This window comes from Homo sapiens, chromosome 3 (assembly GCF_000001405.40).
Source record: "Homo sapiens chromosome 3, GRCh38.p14 Primary Assembly".
In the NCBI taxonomy this organism is placed as follows: Eukaryota; Metazoa; Chordata; class Mammalia; order Primates; family Hominidae; genus Homo; species Homo sapiens.
This window is the reverse complement of record NC_000003.12, coordinates 186,879,264-186,899,791: the sequence shown is the minus strand read 5'-3', so window position 1 is coordinate 186,899,791 and position 20,528 is coordinate 186,879,264. Positions and strand designations below refer to the sequence as shown.

Sequence of the window (20,528 nt, the reverse complement as noted above, 5' to 3'; positions counted from 1 at the left end):
CAGATTTTTTTTCTTAATTAGCCAAGCCTGGTGGCACACACCTGTAGTCCTAGCTACTCTGGAGGCTGAGGCAAGAGGGTCACTTGAGTTTTGGAGTTCAAGGCTGCAGTGAACTGTGACACCACCACTGCACTACAGCCTGGGTGACACAGACCAAGACCCTATCTCTGAGAAAAAAAAATGTAGAAATAAAAGAATTTGGCAAGTGATCGGTGGGGTTGGGAGAGAGAGAAGGCTTGTTCCAGTCTTAGGAATTATTCTCCTGATTGGGTTATGTCAAAAAGAACTGGCTTTATGGGAGATGATATGTTCAACCTTGGAAATGATCAGTTTAGGTTGCCTGAAGGACACTCTGGTAGAGCCAACCATTAGCCAAAGATCTATGGGTTTGGAGTGTGGCTGTCTGAACATATCAAATTCACATAGCTGCAGTAACTAATGCCCCAGTCAAGGAGACAATTACTAAGGTAGAGAATCAAGTGAGAAGAGTGCTCAGAATGGAGTCCAGGGTTATATCAATATGGAGGCATAGCAAGAAAGCTGGCTAGAAACCAATCTATGGGTCTGAAAAAGAGTACTCAGTGGGAAGAGAAACCCCACAGGGAGTGATGTCACACAAACCAAATAAGGCAGAATTTTCAAGAAGGGAGGGGTCAATATCAGCAAATATTGCAAAGATACCAACTGTGTCATTACTGCCTGGCTGGCAGCAGTTTTAGAGGTGGTAAGAGACGTCATGCAGGGAGCAGGTATGGTCTGCTCTTTAAATAACAAGCTTGAATTGGACAGACATTCATTATTTTTTTATTTTTTTATTTTGAGACAGCTGATGCCCAAGCTGGAGTGCAGTGGCGCAATCTCAGCTCACTGCAACCTTTGCCTCCCTGGTTCAAGCAATTCTCATGGCTCAGCCTCCCAGGTATCTGGGATAACAGGCGTGTGCCACCACACCCAGCTAAATTTTGTGTGTGTGTATATATACACACATATAATATATACACATAAGTATATACATATACAAAAATAATACATATAAATATAATATATATTATATATATTTAGTAGAGACAGGGTTTCACTATGTTAGCCAGGCTGGTCTCAAACTCGACCACAGGTGATCTGCCTGCCTTGGCCTCCCCAGGTGCTGGGATTACAGGTGTGAGCCACCGCTCCCGGCCACACATCAATAATTTAAACACTGCCTGGCAAGTGGAAAGTGTTCAGCCAACTGGTGTTACTGCTGAGATCGAAGGGAAGGGAGAAATGCTGGCATCCCTAGCCCATCCAAGTTCCTAGTTGGAGGGACACAGTGTAGCTGGCTCCTGCCTGACATGCCACCCTTTTCTGGAGTAGATATGAGAAGCAGGTGGTCCTGCTGGGGTGTAAGGAAGATGGCAGCATTCTAAAGTATAATGATGGGGCACAAACACAAAATCGTTTTCTTTTTGAGTTACTGTCTTCAGCCACCCTCTTTCAGATCCCGCTTTCTAGTTTATTAAAAGGTAGTTTAAAATCTCAGACTCAGCCAGGCATGGTGGCTCATGCCTGTAATCCCAACACTTTGGGAGGCTGAGGCGGGCGGATCACGAGGTCAAGAAATCAAGACCATCCTGGCCAACATGGTGAAACCCTGTCTCTAGTAAAAATACAAAAATTATCTGGGCGTGGTGGTGCGTGCCTGTAGTCCCAGCTACTTGGGAGGCTGAGGCAAGACAATCGCATGAACCCAGGAGGTGGAGGTTGCAGTGAGCTGAAATCACGCCACTGCACTCCAGCCTGGACAACAGAGTGAGAGACTCTGTCTCAAAAAAAAAAAAACAAAAAAACCCTTCAAACTCACTTATCAAGATTGGAGCTGGAATTCTGATGACAACCAGCACTTCCTGTGAGGGGTGGACAAGAGAGAAGGGCATGGGGTGAATGTCACTCTCTAACCAGCCATTGTCGTGATCCTCTCTGTGGTCTCTGTGACCCTCTGGCTAACACAGCCTGGCCTCCTTGCCCTCGGGGTAGCAGGCATTTAGGTGTTGGGTCCGCCATGGGCTCAGATGAGAGCACTTCTGGGTGCTCCCAGATGGGAAGTCCACCTGTTACACCCAAACGAGTTAGAGAAAACGCCACACTTTGAGACGAATTAAGAGTCCTTTATTTAAGCTGGCGGCCAAAGAGACGGCTAATGCTCAAAATTCTCTTGGCCCCGAGGAAGGGGCTTGATTAACTTTTATACCTTGGTTTAGGAAAGGGAGGGAACTCAAATGCAATAATTCTACAGAAGTAAAAACATGCAAGAATCAAAAGAAGCAAATGGTTACAGAGAGATAAACAATTTAAAAGACAAATGATTACAAAAAGCAACGGTACCAGGTGCAGGGCTCTAAATCCTTCATTAGAGTTAGATATAGATGCTATGCCGGACACGAACTCAAGGCTTTATGTTGTTATCTCTTTGAGAAAAATCCTGGGAACTTCATACATGGTTTGTTCCAGTACCTTATCAGTTAACTGGGCTCCTATGAAATGCTGAGGATCTGCTTACACAGGTTAACTCCTTGAGGAAGGGGGTTGGGTATGGAGCACTTAATGTCTTGTAAATCAAAAGGTCAAATGGAGTTTATCCGGCTTTCCCAGCCAGGGAGAGTCTATTCATATGGGAAACATGGCTGGGAATTAAGGAGACAAAAAAAGGGAAAATTTAAAGTAGCGAGCTAGAGTAAAAAACAAGGTTAGGCATTGCACACCTCTGCTATCTTCCCGCCTCCACTGCTCCCAACCCAATAGTCTGCCCCTCTGCTGAGTGGCCTGGCCCAGAGCACAGCCCTCCAGTGTGAAATGCGGCAGACCATGTCCTCAGGATACTCTGCTGTCTGCCTTTGCCATCTCCATCACTCTACCAGCCTCCATTCTCCCCAGACTTGGGATGTGGTGGGGGGTGTTTGTGGTGGTTGGTAGGGCATCAGGGCTGCTCTGCTAACTCTTAAAAAGCCCCAGGAAGGTGGTTGTGCCTAAGTTGGCAGCGCTCTTTAGTAGGGAGAGTACTGTTGCCTACTGTTTTCAGCTGTTGGCTCTGGTGCGTGCAGTAACAGGAAAAGCCCCCCTCAGACCATTAAGTGGCAATGGTGAGAAATGGGAAAGGGGCTGACTGAGTCCAGAGCTGCAAGAGATAAGCTTACAGCAAACCAAGGCCAGATCTCAAGGCAATGATAATTCAAGTTAAGTCATTTGGGCCTGATCCTGAGGTTTAAGGGGAGTCTTTGAAAGGTTTTATGGAAGAGAATGACATAATCAGATATGGGTTTCAGAAAGATCAGTCTGGTGAAAGACAAGAAGAATTAGAAGACTACAAAATGATTCAGGAGAAATACGGTAAGGGCCTACATCGGGATATGATGGGGAACAGAACAGAATCACAGTTAAGATGCACATTGCCTTTGACAGGCCCCCTGGAGCTGAGCACCACCGGCCCTTCTGTGTACAGCACTGTGCTTTGCCCACCAGCTAGAACATCTCTTCCTCAAACGGGGCCCCAGAGCTGATGTGGGTTAGACTTGGCCAGAGAGACCTCTTCTTTCTATATCTGCAGCTGGGCCTACTCTCTATCGCCTAACCCACTGTCACAGGGTGGGTTTTCCAGCAGACATTAAAAAGGAGTTTGGGGATACAATATGCTTATTAAGGATCAGCACCTCTGAAAGGAAAGGGAAGAAGCAGGATCAGGCCCAGGAACAAGTTGAACTGTGATGCGGGCCTGACAAAATGCTCAGGAGCCCCTAGTAGAGGTGGGGAGTGAGGATTGCTTGTCAGCATCTAAGATTAGGTCCCCACTTCATTCGGCAACCAGATGCAGGCTGCCCCAGGAGGGGGCATGACTGTGTGTGGGGCCACTTTACAGCTGAGGCAGAGCACAAATCAACTGAGTCCTGGAGACCCTGCAGCTGAGCCCTGGAGTCCCTGCAGCTGGGTGGCAAGCCCTCCCTTCTAGGGGAATACAGACAAGGCATCTTACTTCTGTCCTGCTCTCGCCTCTGGGCCTCTGGTCAGGCCTGCTCCCCGAGCCTGCCTCACCCACCTCTGCAGCACCTACGGCTCAGGGAGCTTTGCCAGAAGGGCTTTGGAGAAGGAAGCAGGAAGAACCTTAGTCTTTGGAAATGCTATTTATCTGTAATTGTAATCCCAGGCATCCATAATTAGGAGGGTAAGTTTACTTCTGAAGAAATTGTGTCATGCCTTCCCTGCTAAAACATACTTGGGGATTTCCTGCTCTTATAGATTGTATCTGACTCCCTTTCTGCATCAAATAACGTAAAATCAAGAATGCTAATCCTCAAGACTTGGGCCTACTTAATTGCAACAGGAACACGCCCTTAAGACACAGATCACTCAGGCTTTTGTTTGTGGCTTAAGAATGCCTTTAAGCAGTTTTCCGCCCTGGGTGGGCCAGGTGTTCCTTGCCCTCATTCCCGTAAACCTGCAACCTTCCAGCTTGGGTGTTATGGCCATTATGGACATGTTGCGTTTTATTTATGACCAGTTTTGGGGCCAGTTTATGGCCAGATTTTGGGGGGCTTGCTCCCAACACCTGACCTAGAACCAGATTCTTGAAGAAGTGTCTAGGTTGGGCGCGGTAACTCACGCCTGTAATCCCAGCACTTTGGGAGGCTGAGATGGGCGGATCACCTGAGGTCAGGAGTTCGAGACCAGCCTGGCTAACATGGTGAAACACCATCACTACTAAAAATACAAAAATTACCCGGGCACGGCAGCGGGTGCCTGTAATTCCAGCTACTTCGGAGGCTGAGGCAGGAGAATCGCTTGAACCTGGGAGGCGGAGGTTGCGGTGAGCTGAGATCGTGCCATTGCACTCCAGCCTGGGCAATGAGTGAAACTCCATCTCAAAAAAAAAAATCTGATTCTGCCATGAACTTTATCTGAGATGAGCACAGCTCTTAGTTAGCCACCCCAGTCATTAAATTCCTCTGAAAAGGAGAAAGCAGTTTTTATTTTTAGAAAGGTGGCTAGGCAGGCAGTTAGAGGCTGAGACAGACGAGGATGAAGGGACAGAGGATCTTCCCAAACGGTAGTTTCTGACCTCAGTGTGTAATAGAAAGGCATAAATTGTGGTCCGGTGACAGGGTTCACGCCTGTAATCCCAGCACTTTGCGATACCAAGGCGGGTGGATCACTTGAGGCCAGGAGTTAAAGACCAGCCTGGCCAACAGGGCGAAACTCCATCTCTACTGAAAATACAAAACTTAGCTGGGCTTGGTGGCACACTCCTGTGGTCCCAGCTACTTGGGAGGCTGAGGCAGAAGAATCGCTTGAACCCGAGAGGAGGAGGTTGCAGTGAGCCAAGATTGAGCCATTGCACTCCAGCCTGGGGGACAAGAGCAAGACTCTGCCTCAAAAAAAAAAAAAAAATGAAGAAGACATTATAGGATACAGACACACACAGAGGGAAGACCATGTGAAGATACCATGTGAAGATACAGGGAGAAGACAGTCATCAACATGCCAAGGAAAGAGACCTCAGAAGAAACCAACCAACCCTGCTGACAACTCAGTCTCAAATTTCTTTCATCCAGAATTGTGAGAAATAAATTTCTCTTCTTGAAGGGGTGGGTTGCCCCTCCACACCTGTGGGTGTTTCTCGTAAGGTGGAACGAGAGACTTGGAAAAGAAAAAGACACAGAGACAAAGTATAGAGAAAGAAATAAGGGGGCCCAGGGAACCAGCGTTCAGCATATGGAGGATCCCGCCAGCCTCTGAGTTCCCTTAGTATTTATTGATCATTCGTGGGTGTTTCTCCGAGAGGGGGATGTGTCAGGGTCACAAGACAATAGTGGGGAGAGGGTTAGCAGACAAACACGTGAACAAAGGTCTTTGCATCATAGACAAGGTAAAGGATTAAGTGCTGTGCTTTAGATATGCATACACATAAACATCTCAATGCTTTACAAAGCAGTATTGCTGCCCGCATGTCCCACCTCCAGCCCTAAGGCGGTTTTTCCCTATCTCAGTAGATAGAACGTACAATCGGGTTTTATACCAAGACATTCCATTGCCCAGGGACAGGCAGGAGACAGATGCCTTCCTCTTGTCTCAACTGCAAGAGGCATGCCTTCTTCTTATACTAATCCTCCTCAGCACAGACCCTTTACGGGTGTCAGGCTGGGGGATGGTCAGGTCTTTCCCTTCCCACGAGGCCATATTTCAGACTATCACATGGGGAGAAACCTTGGACAATACCTGGCTTTCCTAGGCAGAGGTCCCTGCGGCCTTCGGCAGTTTTTGTGTCCCTGGGTACTTGAGATTAGGGAGTGGTGATGACTCTTAAGGAGCATGCTGCCTTCAAGCATCTGTTTAACAAAGCACATCTTGCACCGCCCTTAATCCATTTAACTCTGAGTTGACACAGCACATGTTTCAGAGAGCACGGGGTTGGGGGTAAGGTTATAGATTAACAGAATCTCAAGGCAGAAGAATTTTTCTTAGTACATAACAAAATGGAGTCTCCCATGTCTACTTCTTTCTACACAGACACAGTGACAATCTGATCTCTCTTGCTTTTCCCCACATCTTCTTAAGCCACACAGTCTGTAGTATTTTGTTATAGCAACCCCAGCTAACTAGGGCTTCAGGAGTGTGTATCTTCAACCAAAGACATATGTAAGTGTGTATCTTATACTATACACTTATGTATACACTTATGTATATCTTTGGATGAAACATATATATCCCTTTATATTCACAACTTTTAACATATTATAAATACTATTATGCACTTTGCGTTTTTTCATTTTAAGCTGCATCTTAGAGATCATTCCAAATCAGTACACCTAAAGCACCTTTACTTTTTTAAAAGACTACAGCATATTCCATTGTGTGGATGTTTGGTAATTTATTTGACCTCTCTTTATTTATTTATTTATTTATTTTATTTTACTTTTTATTGTTTTTAGAGACGGAGTCTCGCACTGTTGCCCAGGCTGGAGTGCAGTGGCGCGATCTTGGCTCACTGCAAGCTCTGCCTCCCAGGTTCACACCATTCTCCTGCCTCAGCCTCCTACCCTCAGTAGCTGGGATTACAGGCGCCCGCCACCACGCCAGGCTAATTTTTTTTTGTATTTTCAGTAGAGACGGGGTTTCACCGTGTTAGCCAGGATGGTCTCAATCTCCTGACCTCGTGATCTGCCTGCCTCGGCCTCCCGAAGTGCTGGGATTACCGGCATGAGCCACCGTGCCCAGCCTTGACCCCTCTTTATTAATGAATTTCAAGTTGTTTACAAAATTTGCTATTACAAAGAAAAATGCTCCAGTGAGTAACTTTGCATACATGTCATTTCATAGATGTGTATGCATATGAGTAAGATATTAAATTCTCAGTAGAACTGCTTGGCTAAAAATAAACAGATTTAAAATTTTGACAAATATTGCCAAATTGCCTTTCAAAAACTTTATACCAATTTACCCTCCCACCAGCAAATACTTCTGGTTTTGTTTTTGTTTTTGTTTGAGGCAAGATCTTGCTTTGTCACCCAGGCTGAAGGGCAGTGGCACAATCTTGGCTCACTGTAGCCTTGACTTCACAAACTCAAGCAATCCTCCTACCTCAGCCTCCTGAGTAGCTGGGAATACAAGCGTGTGCCACCACACTCTGCTAATCTTTGTATTTTTTGTAGAAACGGGTTTTGTCATGTTGCCCAGGCTGGTCTCAAACTCCTGAGCTCAAGAGATCCACCCACCTCAGTCTCCCAAAGTGCTGGGATTACAGGCATGAGCCACCGCACCTGTCCAAATGTTTCTGTTTCTCCATAACATTACCAATATGTTGCTTCATAAAACTTGTTTATTATTAACAATATAGTTGATGAAAAATAGTATCTTGTACTTAAGGTTGAGTGACTTTCCACATGTTTAAGTTTTTTTATCTAACTTGATGATTGAAATTTTGGCATTTTTCGTCTTCCACCCTGCATGGAATTCTGGGTAGCATAACCACTAACCTGGCCCTAGCTGTCTGTTACTCTGTAGTATTTGATGTTTTATCTTCCTGCTAAACACAGTATTGACTATTTTTTTTTTTTTTTGAGACAGAGTCTCGCTCTGTTGCCCAGGCTGGAGTGCAGTGGCACAATGGCTCACTGCAACCTCCACCTCCCAGGTTCAAGCGATTCTTTTGCCTCAGCCTCCCGAGTAGTTGGGACTACAGGCGTGCACCACCATGCCCAGCTAACTTTTGTATTTTTAGTAGAGACAGGGTTTCACCATATTGGTCAGGCTGGTCTCGAACTCCTGACCTCGTGATCTGCCCACCTCACCCTCCCAAAGTGCTGGGATTACAGGCGTGAGCCACCGCACCCAGCCTCAGTATTGACTATTCTTTAATACTACAGTGTGCTTCTTCTGGCTTCTCCACAGTTAAAATCATAATCACCATGGTTGTCATTGAGAAAGTCACAGTCTAGCACATTTAGCAGATGTATACATAAAATTTGCAATTTTGTATCTACCTGGTGGAGCCCAGGAAGGTTTTAAAGTGGAGGTGATACTTGAAGTATGGATGAAAGTGAGCCAGATAAGAAGCCACTCTAGGCAGGTAAAAAGGCATAAAATTCACAACATTCATACTGGGGATATGAAGTAGTCTGGTAGGACATTGAATGGAAAGTGGGAAAGAATGTGGTTGGACAGCCCCAGCCTCCTTATAAAGGTCTGTAAATGGCAGTGATCACACCTACTTCTGGCATATAAGCCCAGGCTTTGCTCCAGCACCCACAGGTATGACCCACCCTTACTCCTCTCTGGACTTCCCTCTCTTCAAGCAATATGCTCTCACAAAGAGAGATAAGACAAAGCAAAATGACTTTAAAATACCTTTATTGATTTTTCTGATTATAACAGAAAACATTGTATAGAAAAGTCAAGCAATACAGAACACTATGAAAAAATTTAAAAGAACAAAATACTAACCCCCAGAAGTAACCACTGCAAATATTTTGTTAGTAGTCTTTGCAGAGTTCTCCCTAAACATACACCCTAAACATTACACACACACATAAAATGTTAATTATATGTATTCATATACTATATATAAATTACATAGTATCTAAAGGTTTTATGTAAATGATAATATTTTTCACTAAAAAATACTTCATAGAAATTTTTCAAGCCTATGAATATAGAACTGCATTATTGTCTACTGCCTCCTGACTACTGCCTACATAGCATTTCATTCTAAAGGTACTAGAATTCATTGGCTAATTCTCTATTATGGACATTTAAGCTGTTATACAAACATTGCTACAATGGACAACCTTGTATATTTATGTATAACATCAAGGTTATTATATTTTTGGTGTTATGACATGTTTTAATTGATCAGGTGACTGTTGAACTGACCCCAAGCTGGCCAGGTCTTCCTGAGAAAGAACAACTTCTATTCATTGCCTCTTAGACTCCATTCCTCTCGCCATCTTGGTACAAGTTTCAATTTAAGAAGTTTTATTCCAGATTGGGTGCTGTGGCTCACACCTGTAATCCCAGCACTTTGGGAAGCCGAGGCAGGTGGGTCACTTGAGGTCAGGAGTTCAAGACCAGCCTGACCAACGTGGTGAAACCCCATCTCTACTAAAAATACAAAAATTAGCCGGGTGTGGTGGCACATGCCTGTAGTCCCAGCTACTTGGGAGGCTGACGTAGGAGAATCAATCGCCTGAACCCGGGAGGTGGAGGTTGCAGTGAGCTGAGATTGTGCCATTGCACTCCAGCCTGGGCGACAGAGCGAGACTGTGTCTCAAAAAAAAAAAAAGAAGGAGAGGGAGAAGGAGAAGAGGAAGAGGAAGAGGAGGAACAAGAAGAAGAAGGAAGAGAAGGAGAAGGAGAGGAAGAGGAAGAGGAGGAAGAAGAAGAAGAAGGAGGAGAAGGAAAAGGAGAAGGAGAAGAGGAAGAAGAAGGAGAGGGAGAGGGAGAGGAAGAGGAAGAGGAAGAAGAGGAAGAAGAAGAAGAAGAGGAAGAAGAAGAAGAAGAAGAAGAAGAAGAAGATTATTCCTCACATCTTCCTCAACCTCAAGCCTCCCAGATTTGTCCTATGCAGAGTGGGCAGCATCTCCCTCTTGGTGAGTGACAATGGAGATGTCAATGAGATGATCATTGGTATGTTTTCCTTCCCTCTTGTTTTGTGATGTTTTTGTGATGAAGTCAGGATCTGAAGGATTCTCCCTGGGCTCTTAGAAACATGGACTTATTATTGTGACCCCCCAAGGACTTGGGCTGCCCTCTAGGTTTGGCGTATGTTAGGAAATAGCCCCTTTTATCTGCTACTCCACAAAAGTGACTATAGTATGTCCATTCAGGTTACTTTGCTGTACTGTAGATTCTTGTCATTGGAGAAGATAACATTGAATGTTTCATCTGGTCACTGAGGATGTCAGATCTATTCAGTGTCACCAGTAGCTGACATTTTGTGCGTGCCAAGAACTACCCCTGTAGATCCTACTATAAGTCAGTCCTCCAATTTAAGCCTCACCTTTTCATTTATAAAATGAGATGGTTGGACAAGAAAATTTCTGAAGTCCCTACAGCACTTGAGGCTGTAATAATGAATGGACTAAGCTGAATGGATGAATGAGCATATTACTTAAGGACACTTTTCTTATGATTTAACTGGAAATCAGAGATATAAATTGGCGAAAAGTTCAGCAATTTATCACCTCAATAACAGCTCAGGACCACAGTGAAAAAAGTGTCCCAAGGATATTATGAGTAAATATAACAATAAGCACAGTAAGAGGCGACTTTAAGGAGGTAGATATTGAAGCAGGCAGAGGTGGCCAGGGAAGGGAGGCCTCATTGAATTTACAAAAAAGAAATCTTACCCTGAATCCTGTCTCTCGTTACATCTGCAAGGTGTCAGGTTTCCTGTACTCTATTCTTTAGTACCCTGTCCCTAAATCACCCTGTACATGTTTGAATTGTCAGTCTCTTTTCACCCTTCCCCCTGCTCGAAGACTCTTCATTCCAACCCCTCCCCTCTGCCCATAACTGGGTTAGAATTCACGTTCATACACAGCCGCAATGATATAAATAGAAGTAATAAAGGTTCCAAGGAGGAACTGGCAATGTCAACATCTGACTGGAAGAGATAAGGGTCTAATGGGGAGCTTGTAGGCACTGGCGCAGTCCTGTGGGGGAGAGAGCATGGTGGTGCATATTCACGTTGATGGCACCATACTTCATATTAAAAACAAAGAGTACTCTTAGAAACAAAGCCCTCAAGAAGGAGCATTTAGGACAAAACAATAAATTACCAAAGGGGATGGAATTCTGATTCTCATGAATTCTTCTATATATGTATATATACATAAATATGTATATATGCAAAGAAATATATATATGTGCAAAGAAATATATATGTATATATATTCCTAAATAACTCACAGGGTATTATGCTATGTATGATCTATAATCTTTCAGGATTTGCTCTTTTCATTTAATATTATATTGCTAAGATTCATTTATGTTACTGCATGTCACTACAGTTCATTCATTTTGACTCCTGTATAATATTTAATTGCATGAATTTCACTAAGTTTATGTTGTTCCTTATCCCACTGAGGGATATTTTGATTCTTCAGATGTCTGCTATTGTGAGGAATGCTGCTATGAACATTCATATACATCTTATATCTCCTGTTGTTCATGGGCAACTATCTTGGGCATTCACCTTCAAAAGGAGCTTCTGTGTCATATAGAGTGTGTAAATGTTCAACTTTAGGAGGTAATGGTCATGACAAACCGTTTTCCAAAGTGACTGCACAAATTTATATTTTCACTAGCAGTGTGTGAAAGATCCTGAGGCTCTACACCTCTTCTCCCATGTTCATTATTACACTTTAAAATTGTTGCCAAGCAAATGATCAGGGACTAATTTTTACTTTCAAGTTATTGGTTCAAGGACTACCTGTGGGGAAAAGCAAGAGAGATCAGATTGTCACTGTGTCTGTGTAGAAAGAAGTAGACATGGGAGACTCCATTTTGTTATGTACTAAGAAAAATTCTTCTGCCTTGAGATTCTGTGACCTTACCCCCAACCCCGTGCTCTCTGAAACATGTGCTGTGTCAAACTCAGGGTTAAATGGATTAAGGGCGGTGCAAGATGTGCTTTGTTAAACAGATGCTTGAAGGCAGCATGCTCGTTAAGAGTCATCACCACTCCCTAATCTCAAGTACCCAGGGACACAAAAACTGCGGAAGGCCGCAGGGACCTCTGCCTAAGAAAGCCAGGTATTGTCCAAGGTTTCTCCCCGTGTGATAGTCTGAAATATGGCCTCGTGGGAAGGGAAAGACCTGACCCTCCCCCAGCCCGACACCCGTAAAGGGTCTGTGCTGAGGAGGATTAGTATAAGAGGAAGGCATGCCTCTTGCAGTTGAGACAAGAGGAAGGCATCTGTCTCCTGCCCGTCCCTGGGCAATGGAATGTCTCGGTATAAAACCTGATTGTATGTTCCATCTACTGAGATAGGGAAAAACCGCCTTAGGGCTGGAGGTGGGACATGCGGGCAGCAATACTGCTTTGTAAAGCATTGAGATGTTTATGTGTATGCATATCTAAAAGCACAGCACTTAATCCTTTACCTTGTCTATGATGCAAAGACCTTTGTTCACGTGTTTGTCTGCTGACCCCCTCCCCACTATTGTCTTGTGACCCTGACACATCCCCCTCTCAGAGAAACACCCACGAATGATGAATAAATACTAAGGGAACTCAGAGGCTGGCAGGATCCTCCATATGCTGAACGCTGGTTCCCCGGGTCCCCTTATTTCTTTCTCTATACTTTGTCTCTGTGTCTTTTTCTTTTCCAAGTCTCTCGTTCCACCTTAAGAGAAACACCCACAGGTGTGGAGGGGCAACCCACCCCTTCAACTACCCACCCTGGGAAGCGGGAACCCACACCCTTGATCCCCAGGAGTACTGGGCTTGTGTTGCAAATGCTCAGGAGACTCTTTTTTTTCCTTTACCCAGACACAGGCTGAAACAAATGAGTTGCTTTGTTTTTTTTCTAGGATGAGGGTGGGAAGAGCATTGCTTTCTAGTCCACTCTTATTATGTTCTGAATTCTCACTTCATCAGGGCACAAGTTCCTTACTCCTTGCATTGTAATGTGTTAAAAGCCATGCCCCTGGGTTGCTGAGACCAAGGCCCCAAGACAGCCTTAGCCCGAGCCCATAATGATTGCTCCAGTTACCTCTCTCTCTATTTTTGGCCCCTGGTGATTTTCTTCACTTTTCTGTTAGTTCAGGTGTGCATTTAAAAGAATGTGGACGATATTTTATTCAACTCTTTCAGAGGTTTTGAAGAGGGAACTACTTTAGGTTGTCTAGTATGATGTCATTCCCTTGTTTCAAAGCTGCCAGGGCACATATTCCCCAGAATGCAGGAATTCCTGGAGGTTTGTTCTGCATCCCCACACTGAGGGGTTTCTGTGCTGGGTTGGTTGCTCTGTATCTGGCCTCTGTCTTATGGGGAGGGAATCTGCTCCACAGACAGCCCCATGAGTCGTGCTCAAGTTCATTCTTACCATGCTCAGGACAGTGACCCTGGGACCCAGTCTATGTCCACTCCTCATCAGTAATAGGAGCCCCTTACCCACCCGGACCTTTCTGATTTGAGGACTGGGTCAATAATCGTCCATAATGATTGCAACTGGAAGTTACTAATTTATTCTATGCTAGTGGGTCAATAAGGAATGGCTGTGGTCTGAGAAACTATGTGTTTCTCAGGGTGGGGGAACAGGAATTCATATGGAATTGCAAGGGACCCCAAAGAGTCAAAACAATTTTAAAGAAGAACAAAGTTGAAGGACTCATTTTCTAATTTCACAACTTACTACCAAGTTTCAGTATCAAGACAGAGTATCACTGACAAAAGGATAGACATATAGATCAATGGAATAGAACTGAGAGTCTAGAAATAGATCTCACATTTAGAGTCAATTGATTTTTAGCAGAAGTGCTAAGACAATTCAATAAATGGTGCTGAAACAATTGGATATGTACATCCAAAAGAATGAAGTTGGACTCTTACCTTATACCACACACAAAAGTTAACTCAAAATGGATTAAAGACCTAAACAGTCTCCCTCTCCCATTAAAGACCTAAACAGTCTGCCTCTGCCTCTGCCTCTGCCCCTGCCCCTGCCCCTGCCCCTGCCCCTGCCTCTGCCTCTCCCCACGGTCTCCCTCTCCCTCTCTTTCCACGGTCTCCCTCTGATGCCTAGCTGAGGCTGGACTGGACTGCTGCCATCTCGGCTCACTGCAACCTCCCTGCCTGATTCTCCTGCCTCAGCCTGCCGAGTGCCTGCGATTGCAGGCACGCGCCGCCACACCTGACTGGTTTTCGTATTTTTTTGGTGGAGACGGGGTTTCGCTGTTGGCCGGGCTGGTCTCCAGCTCCTGACCGCGAGTGATCCGCCAGCCTCGGCCTCCTGAGGTGCCAGGATTGCAGACGGAGTCTTGTTCACTCAGTGCTCAATGTTGCCCAGGCTGGAGTACAGTGGCGTGATCTCGGCTCGCTACAACCTCCACCTCCCAGCCACCTGCCTTGGCCTCCCAAAGTGCCGAGATTGCAGCCTCTGCCCAGCTGCCACGCCGTCTGGGAAGTGAGGAGCGTCTCTGCCTGGCCGCCCATCCTCTGGGATGTGAGGAGCCCCTCTGCCCCGCCGCCCCATCTGGGAGGTGAGGAGCGTCTCTGCCCGGCCGCCCCGTCTGAGAAGTGAGGAGCCCCTCCGCCCAGCAGCCACCCCGTCTGGGAAGTGAGGAGCGTCTCCGCCCGGCAGCCGCCCCGTCCGGGAGGGAGGTGGGGGTCAGCCCCCCACCCGGCCAGCCGCCCCGTCCGGGAGGTGAGGGGCGCCTCTGCCCGGCCGCCCCTACTGGGAAGTGAGGAGCCCCTCTGTCCGGCCACCACCCCGTCTGGGAGGTGAACCCAACAGCCCATTGAGAACGGGCCATGATGACAATGGCGGTTTTGTGGAATAGAAAAGGGGGAAAGGTGGGGAAAAGATTGAGAAATCGGATGGTTGCTGTGTCTGTGTAGAAAGAAGTAGACATGGGAGACTTTTCACTTTGTTCTGTACTAAGAAAAATTCTTCTGCCTTGGGATCCTGTTGATCTGTGGCCTTACCCCCAACCCTGTGCTCTCTGAAACATGTGCTGTGTCCACTCAGGGTTAAATGGATTAAGGGCGGTGCAAGATGTGCTTTGTTAAACAGATGCTTGAAGGCAGCATGCTCGTTAAGAGTCATCACCACTCCCTAGGAAAACCAGAGACCTTTGTTCTCTTGTTTATCTGCTGACCTTCCCTCCACTATTGTCCTATGACCCTGCCAAATCCCCCTCTGCAAGAAACACCCAAGAATGATCAATTAAAAAATAAAATAAAATAAAATAAAAGACCTAAACATAAGAGGTGAAACCATAAAACTCTTAGCAGGCTGGGAGTGGTGGCTGAAGCCTTGTAATCCCAGCACTTTAGGAGGTCAAGATGGGCAGATGGCTTGAGCCGAAGAGTTTGAGACCAGCCTGGGCAACGTGGCAAAACCCTGTCTCTACAAAAAATACAAAAATTAGCCTGGCGTGGTGATACACACCTGTAGTCCCAGCTACTAGGGAGGCTGAGGCAAGAGGATTGCTTGAGCCTGGGAAGACAAGGCTGCAGTGATCCGTGATCAAGCCATTGCACTCCAGCCTGGGAGACAGAGAGAGACTCTGTCTTGAAAACTAACTAAATAAACAAATAAAAGCAAGAATCTAAATTGGCACTTCTGCAAAGAAGATACACAAATGGTCAGTAACCACAAAAATAATGCTCAACATCATTAGTTCTCAAGGAACTGCAAATCAAAACCACAATCAGATATCACTTCACACCCACTAGGATGGTTATAATTTAAAAGACAGATAAGAGCAAATGTTGATGAGAATGTAGAGAAACTGAAACTCTCATGCACTGATGCCAGGAAGGTAAAATGGTACAATGCCTGGGTGACAGAGTGGAGAATCTGTCTCAAAGAAAAAGAAAAATCTTGAAATCGTGTCTTGTGACTTTGGAAAACAGCCTGGTAGTTCTTCGAAATGTTAAACATAGTTACCATTCCTAGGTGTATGTATACCCAGAGAAATGAAAATATATGCATACACAAAAACTTGTACACAAATGCTCTTAGCAGCATTATTCATAATAGTCCCAAAGTGAAAACAACCCAAATGTCCATCAACTAATGAATGGACAAATGTAATGTAGTACAGTAGTGCTTCTTCTCATCCGCAGTTTCACCTTCTGCAGTTTCAGTTACATACAGTCAATTGCATTGGGAAAATGTGAAATGAAAAACTCCAGAAATAAACAATTTATGAGTTTTAAATTGTGCAGGCCAGGTGCAGTGGCTCACTCCTGTAATCCCAGCATTTTGGGAAGCCAAGACAGGCAGATCACTTGAGGCCCAGAGTTCAAAACCAGCTTAGCCAACTTGGTGAAACCTCATCTCTACAAAATATACAAAAAGTAGCCAGGCATGGTGGCGCATGCCTGTGGTCCCAGCTGCTTGCGGGGCTGAGGCGGGAGGATTGCTTGAACCTGGGAGGCAGAGGTTGCAGTGAGCAGAGACTGAGCCACTGTGCTCCAGCCTGGGTGACAGAGTGGAAACGCTGTCTCAAAAAAAAAAAAAAAAAGTTTGAAACTGTGTCTTGTTCTGAGTAGCATGATAAAATCTTATGTCATCCCACTCCATCCTTCCCAGGAAGTGAATCATCCCTTTGTCCTGTGCATCTATGTTCTCTATAACACCATTAGTCACTTAGTAACTATCAGATTGACAGTTACAGTATCACAGTTCTTGTATTCAAGTCACCCATATTTTTCTTGATAATGGCCCTAAAGCACAAAAGCAGTGATGCTGGCATATTTTTATGAATTGTTCTATTTAGTTATTGCTGTTGTTAATATCTTACTGAGCCTAATTTATTTTTATTTCTATTTTTATCTTATAATTTATAAATTAAACTTTATCCTAAGTATCTATATATAGAAAAAAACATAGTATATATAGGATTTGGTGCTATCTGTGGTTTCAAGCATTCCCTGGAGAACTCGGAACATATGCCCCCCAGATAAGAGGAAACTACTGTGTATCCACATAAGGGAGTATTAAGCAATTGAAAGAAATAAAGTACTGGTAAATGCTATAACATGGATGAACCTTCAAAACATTATACTAAGTGAAAGAAGCCAGTCGTGAAACATCATAGTGTAATGCATTACATGAAATGTCCAGGCTAGGCAATCTATAGGAACAGAAACTAGATTAGTAAAAGCTAAGACTGGAGGATTTCAGAGGAAATGAGGAGTAGCTGCTGATAGGTATGAGGTTTCCTTTGGGGATGATAAAATTCGTCTAAAATTGGTTGTACTGATGGTTTCACAATTCTGTGAAACCCAAAAAGCATTGACTGGCAGGAGAGGGGATTCCTTTAAACGGGTGAATTGTGTGGTATGTAAACTATATTTCAATAAAGCTCTTACAAGAAAAAAAAAAGATGGCTATGACATGATTCTTGCTTTGGAAGAGCACGACTCAGACATTTTGAATCCTCTGCATTCCTATAAAAATTTCTGAATTGTTTTAGTGTCTTCCAATAAAAGAGGAAACAGCGGGTACAGAAGAGAATCAATAGAAACATCCACTAAAATATAAAAAGGATTACAAAATAAAAGAGTTTCACCAACACTCCAGGCAACGGGGCTAGAGATTAACATCAGCTCTATTTATACTGTTTGCGCATAATTGCATATGGTTACACATGCTTAAGTTGACTAAAAATTACATCTAGGCCGGGCACGATGGCTCACATCTGTAATCCCAGCACTTTGGGAGGCTGAGGTGGGCAGATCACTTGAGGTCAGGAGTTCGACGCCAGCCTGGCCAACATGGTGAAACCCCATCACTACAAAAATACAAAAACTGGCTGGGTGCGGTGGCTCATGCCTGTAATCCTGGCACTTTGGGAGGCCGAGGCTGGCGGATCACGAGGTCAGTAGTTCGAGACCAGCCTGACCAACATGGTGAAACCCCGTCTCTACTAAAAGTACAAAAATTAGCCAGGTACGGTGGCACATGCCTGTAATCCCAGCTACTCAGGAGGCTGAAGTAGGAGAATCACCTGAACCTGGGAGGCAGAGGTTGCAGTGAGCCAAGACTGCACCACTGCACTCCAGCCTGGTGACAGAGCGAGACTCCATCTCAAAAAAAAAAAAAAAAATTATCTGGGTGTGGTTGCGTGCATCTGTAATTCCAGCTACTGGGAGGCGGAGGCACAAGAATTGCTTGAACCCAGGAGGCGGAGGTTGCAGTAAGCTGAGATCGCGCCACTAGACTCCAGCCTGGGTGATGGATACTCTGACTCAAAAAAATTTAAAAAAATTATAAAAAATTACATCCAGGTCAGTGATTCTCAAACCTTGGTGTGCTTACCTGAAGAGCTTTTAAAAACACATATTGCTGGGCTCCACCCCAAAAACTTCTGATTCGATAGGTTTGGGATAGATCCCAAATTATTTGCATTTCTACAAAGTTCCCACGCTGATGCTGCTGGTCTGAGAACCGCTTGGAAAACTACTGGCTCAGATCTTTTCAAGATGTCATTCTCAGCTCATCTTCATCTCATTAGGTTAAAGAAGTCCTCTAGATGTTGGGAAAGTCAAGACGCACGAGACAGGCTTCCTGACAATGGTAGCTAACGCTCTGGCACTCAGAGAGGGCAAATCAGATGCACCAGGGCCTCTTCTACTTGTTAAAACTACATCTTACACCATGTTGCTTCCTATTATAACAGTAGCTGTTGCAATTTTGTTCATTCTGCCTCATATTGCAACAAAGAAGATTCTGGAGTAGCTTTTTTCTGTTGGCGCTTATTGAGAGTGGAGGAAAATAATGAAAGCCATCGCCCCTAATCACAAGGCATCAAAGCTGTTTTTAGGGGCATGTTTCTCAGCAAGATTTCCTCGAAGAGAAACCAAGGGCTTGGTCATCACTAGAACTTCACCTCTGAAATCTTACCTCACATCTGCAAATCATTCTCTCTCTCACTCACTCTCACTGTACCTTCTTTTTCTCTTTGCATTTCTGTTATGTTTGTTTCCTCCTTTCTACCAATCTGTTGAATCTGTGTAGGCCTCCGTGGCTGTACCCATTGTTGAATACCTAAGCTATTTTCACAGGCCTCCTAGGATCCAGCACCCTACCTGTCCAATGCTAAATTAGTGCTATAACCACCACTTTTCCAGTCCTACACCCGAGCCCTTTGTTTTACCCTCTCAATCTTCTGCCAGACTAGAGAGGGACAGTCATCATGCTGCAGGTTTAGAGTAGAATTGAAACCAACTTGTCTTTTTTAAGCCCATATTTACTCCTATTGCAAGAGATACTTGGTGCTGCCAATTCCTGAAACTTTTGTGTGTTTTGGGAAACATATATAGTACTTCTTTGCATTTTCCCTGCCAGCTTAAGAGTAACTTTTTCAGTCTGCTAAATCATTATCATTAGTTATGCCTGCAAGTTGTTATTGCCCCTGTCTACCCTCTTCTTCATTTGCTTTTGTGCAAACATTTATGCTTTTTAAAAAAATTTGCTGTTGTTTTAGTGGAGTTTGGAGAAACAGCAGAGGCAAATACATGTGTTAATTTCAGCATCTTTATCAAAAGCCTTGCATGTTTCCTCCTAGAGAGAGAGAGTGTGTGTGTGTGTGTAATGATTGTGAGATTCATCAGACTGATGTTTGTGGCTTTAGGCCATTCAATATTACTATTTTACAGTATCCTATTGTTTGACTATATAAAACTTTATTCATTCCTTTTTTGATGCACATTTGGGTTGTTTCCAAGTTTTGCTCTTACAAAACAATCTGCTATAAAAATTATTGTGTGTGTCTCCTTGTACACCTGCGTGAGAGTTTCTCTTAAAATGGTGGAAGATAGAATGGATTGTAAACTATAAGCCTCTTCAGCTCTGGCAGATAATATGAAATGGATTTCCAAAGTGATTTGATCAACTTACACTCCTACCAGCAATTAATAATGACTTTACACTTATGTTAACCCTTGGTATTATCAGATTTTTAAAATTTTTGCCAATCTAGTGGGTTTAAAAGGAACAAATGATCATTGGTGGATGCAAAAACTATTGCTTGTAAATTGCAAAAAGAAAAATGGACCACTACAATGGAGAGATCTGTCTGTCACCACCTTAGCTGAGTGACCAAATTTGACATCACTAACAATAAGACTATCTGGCATTATGGGTCCCCTGATGTAATGCAATATTAATTATCATGGATTTACCTATAGAATAATTCTTGTCAGAAATTATAACCCGAATTAATCAAGCTCCAGGAGAAGCTTCCACTTTACAAGAAGGTAAATGGGATCAAGTAGCAAGGTGACTGTTACTATGAGGAAACAGACAAAGCCAGAATACAGGACT

General features: G+C 44.3%; 9 annotated features.

Moving 5' to 3' along the window:
• Positions 1,343 to 1,863: an enhancer, noted in NCBI's record as "H3K27ac hESC enhancer chr3:186615718-186616238 (GRCh37/hg19 assembly coordinates)". NCBI's record gives its function as "activates a minimal SCP1, AML or CMV promoter by ChIP-STARR-seq in primed H9 embryonic stem cells {active_cell/tissue: H9 hESC(primed)}" and the evidence as "EXISTENCE:reporter gene assay evidence [ECO:0000049][PMID:30033119]".
• Positions 1,864 to 2,383: an enhancer, noted in NCBI's record as "NANOG-H3K27ac hESC enhancer chr3:186615198-186615717 (GRCh37/hg19 assembly coordinates)". NCBI's record gives its function as "activates a minimal SCP1, AML or CMV promoter by ChIP-STARR-seq in primed H9 embryonic stem cells {active_cell/tissue: H9 hESC(primed)}" and the evidence as "EXISTENCE:reporter gene assay evidence [ECO:0000049][PMID:30033119]".
• Positions 2,384 to 2,904: an enhancer, noted in NCBI's record as "NANOG-H3K27ac-H3K4me1 hESC enhancer chr3:186614677-186615197 (GRCh37/hg19 assembly coordinates)". NCBI's record gives its function as "activates a minimal SCP1, AML or CMV promoter by ChIP-STARR-seq in primed H9 embryonic stem cells {active_cell/tissue: H9 hESC(primed)}" and the evidence as "EXISTENCE:reporter gene assay evidence [ECO:0000049][PMID:30033119]".
• Positions 4,467 to 4,987: an enhancer, noted in NCBI's record as "NANOG-H3K27ac hESC enhancer chr3:186612594-186613114 (GRCh37/hg19 assembly coordinates)". NCBI's record gives its function as "activates a minimal SCP1, AML or CMV promoter by ChIP-STARR-seq in primed H9 embryonic stem cells {active_cell/tissue: H9 hESC(primed)}" and the evidence as "EXISTENCE:reporter gene assay evidence [ECO:0000049][PMID:30033119]".
• Positions 6,029 to 6,548: an enhancer, noted in NCBI's record as "OCT4-NANOG-H3K27ac hESC enhancer chr3:186611033-186611552 (GRCh37/hg19 assembly coordinates)". NCBI's record gives its function as "activates a minimal SCP1, AML or CMV promoter by ChIP-STARR-seq in primed H9 embryonic stem cells {active_cell/tissue: H9 hESC(primed)}" and the evidence as "EXISTENCE:reporter gene assay evidence [ECO:0000049][PMID:30033119]".
• Positions 11,356 to 12,318: an enhancer, noted in NCBI's record as "OCT4-NANOG-H3K27ac hESC enhancer chr3:186605263-186606225 (GRCh37/hg19 assembly coordinates)". NCBI's record gives its function as "activates a minimal SCP1, AML or CMV promoter by ChIP-STARR-seq in naive H9 embryonic stem cells {active_cell/tissue: H9 hESC(naive)}" and the evidence as "EXISTENCE:reporter gene assay evidence [ECO:0000049][PMID:30033119]".
• Positions 12,319 to 13,282: an enhancer, noted in NCBI's record as "OCT4-NANOG-H3K27ac hESC enhancer chr3:186604299-186605262 (GRCh37/hg19 assembly coordinates)". NCBI's record gives its function as "activates a minimal SCP1, AML or CMV promoter by ChIP-STARR-seq in naive H9 embryonic stem cells {active_cell/tissue: H9 hESC(naive)}" and the evidence as "EXISTENCE:reporter gene assay evidence [ECO:0000049][PMID:30033119]".
• Positions 18,734 to 19,234: an enhancer, noted in NCBI's record as "H3K27ac hESC enhancer chr3:186598347-186598847 (GRCh37/hg19 assembly coordinates)". NCBI's record gives its function as "activates a minimal SCP1, AML or CMV promoter by ChIP-STARR-seq in naive H9 embryonic stem cells {active_cell/tissue: H9 hESC(naive)}" and the evidence as "EXISTENCE:reporter gene assay evidence [ECO:0000049][PMID:30033119]".
• Positions 19,235 to 19,735: an enhancer, noted in NCBI's record as "H3K27ac hESC enhancer chr3:186597846-186598346 (GRCh37/hg19 assembly coordinates)". NCBI's record gives its function as "activates a minimal SCP1, AML or CMV promoter by ChIP-STARR-seq in naive H9 embryonic stem cells {active_cell/tissue: H9 hESC(naive)}" and the evidence as "EXISTENCE:reporter gene assay evidence [ECO:0000049][PMID:30033119]".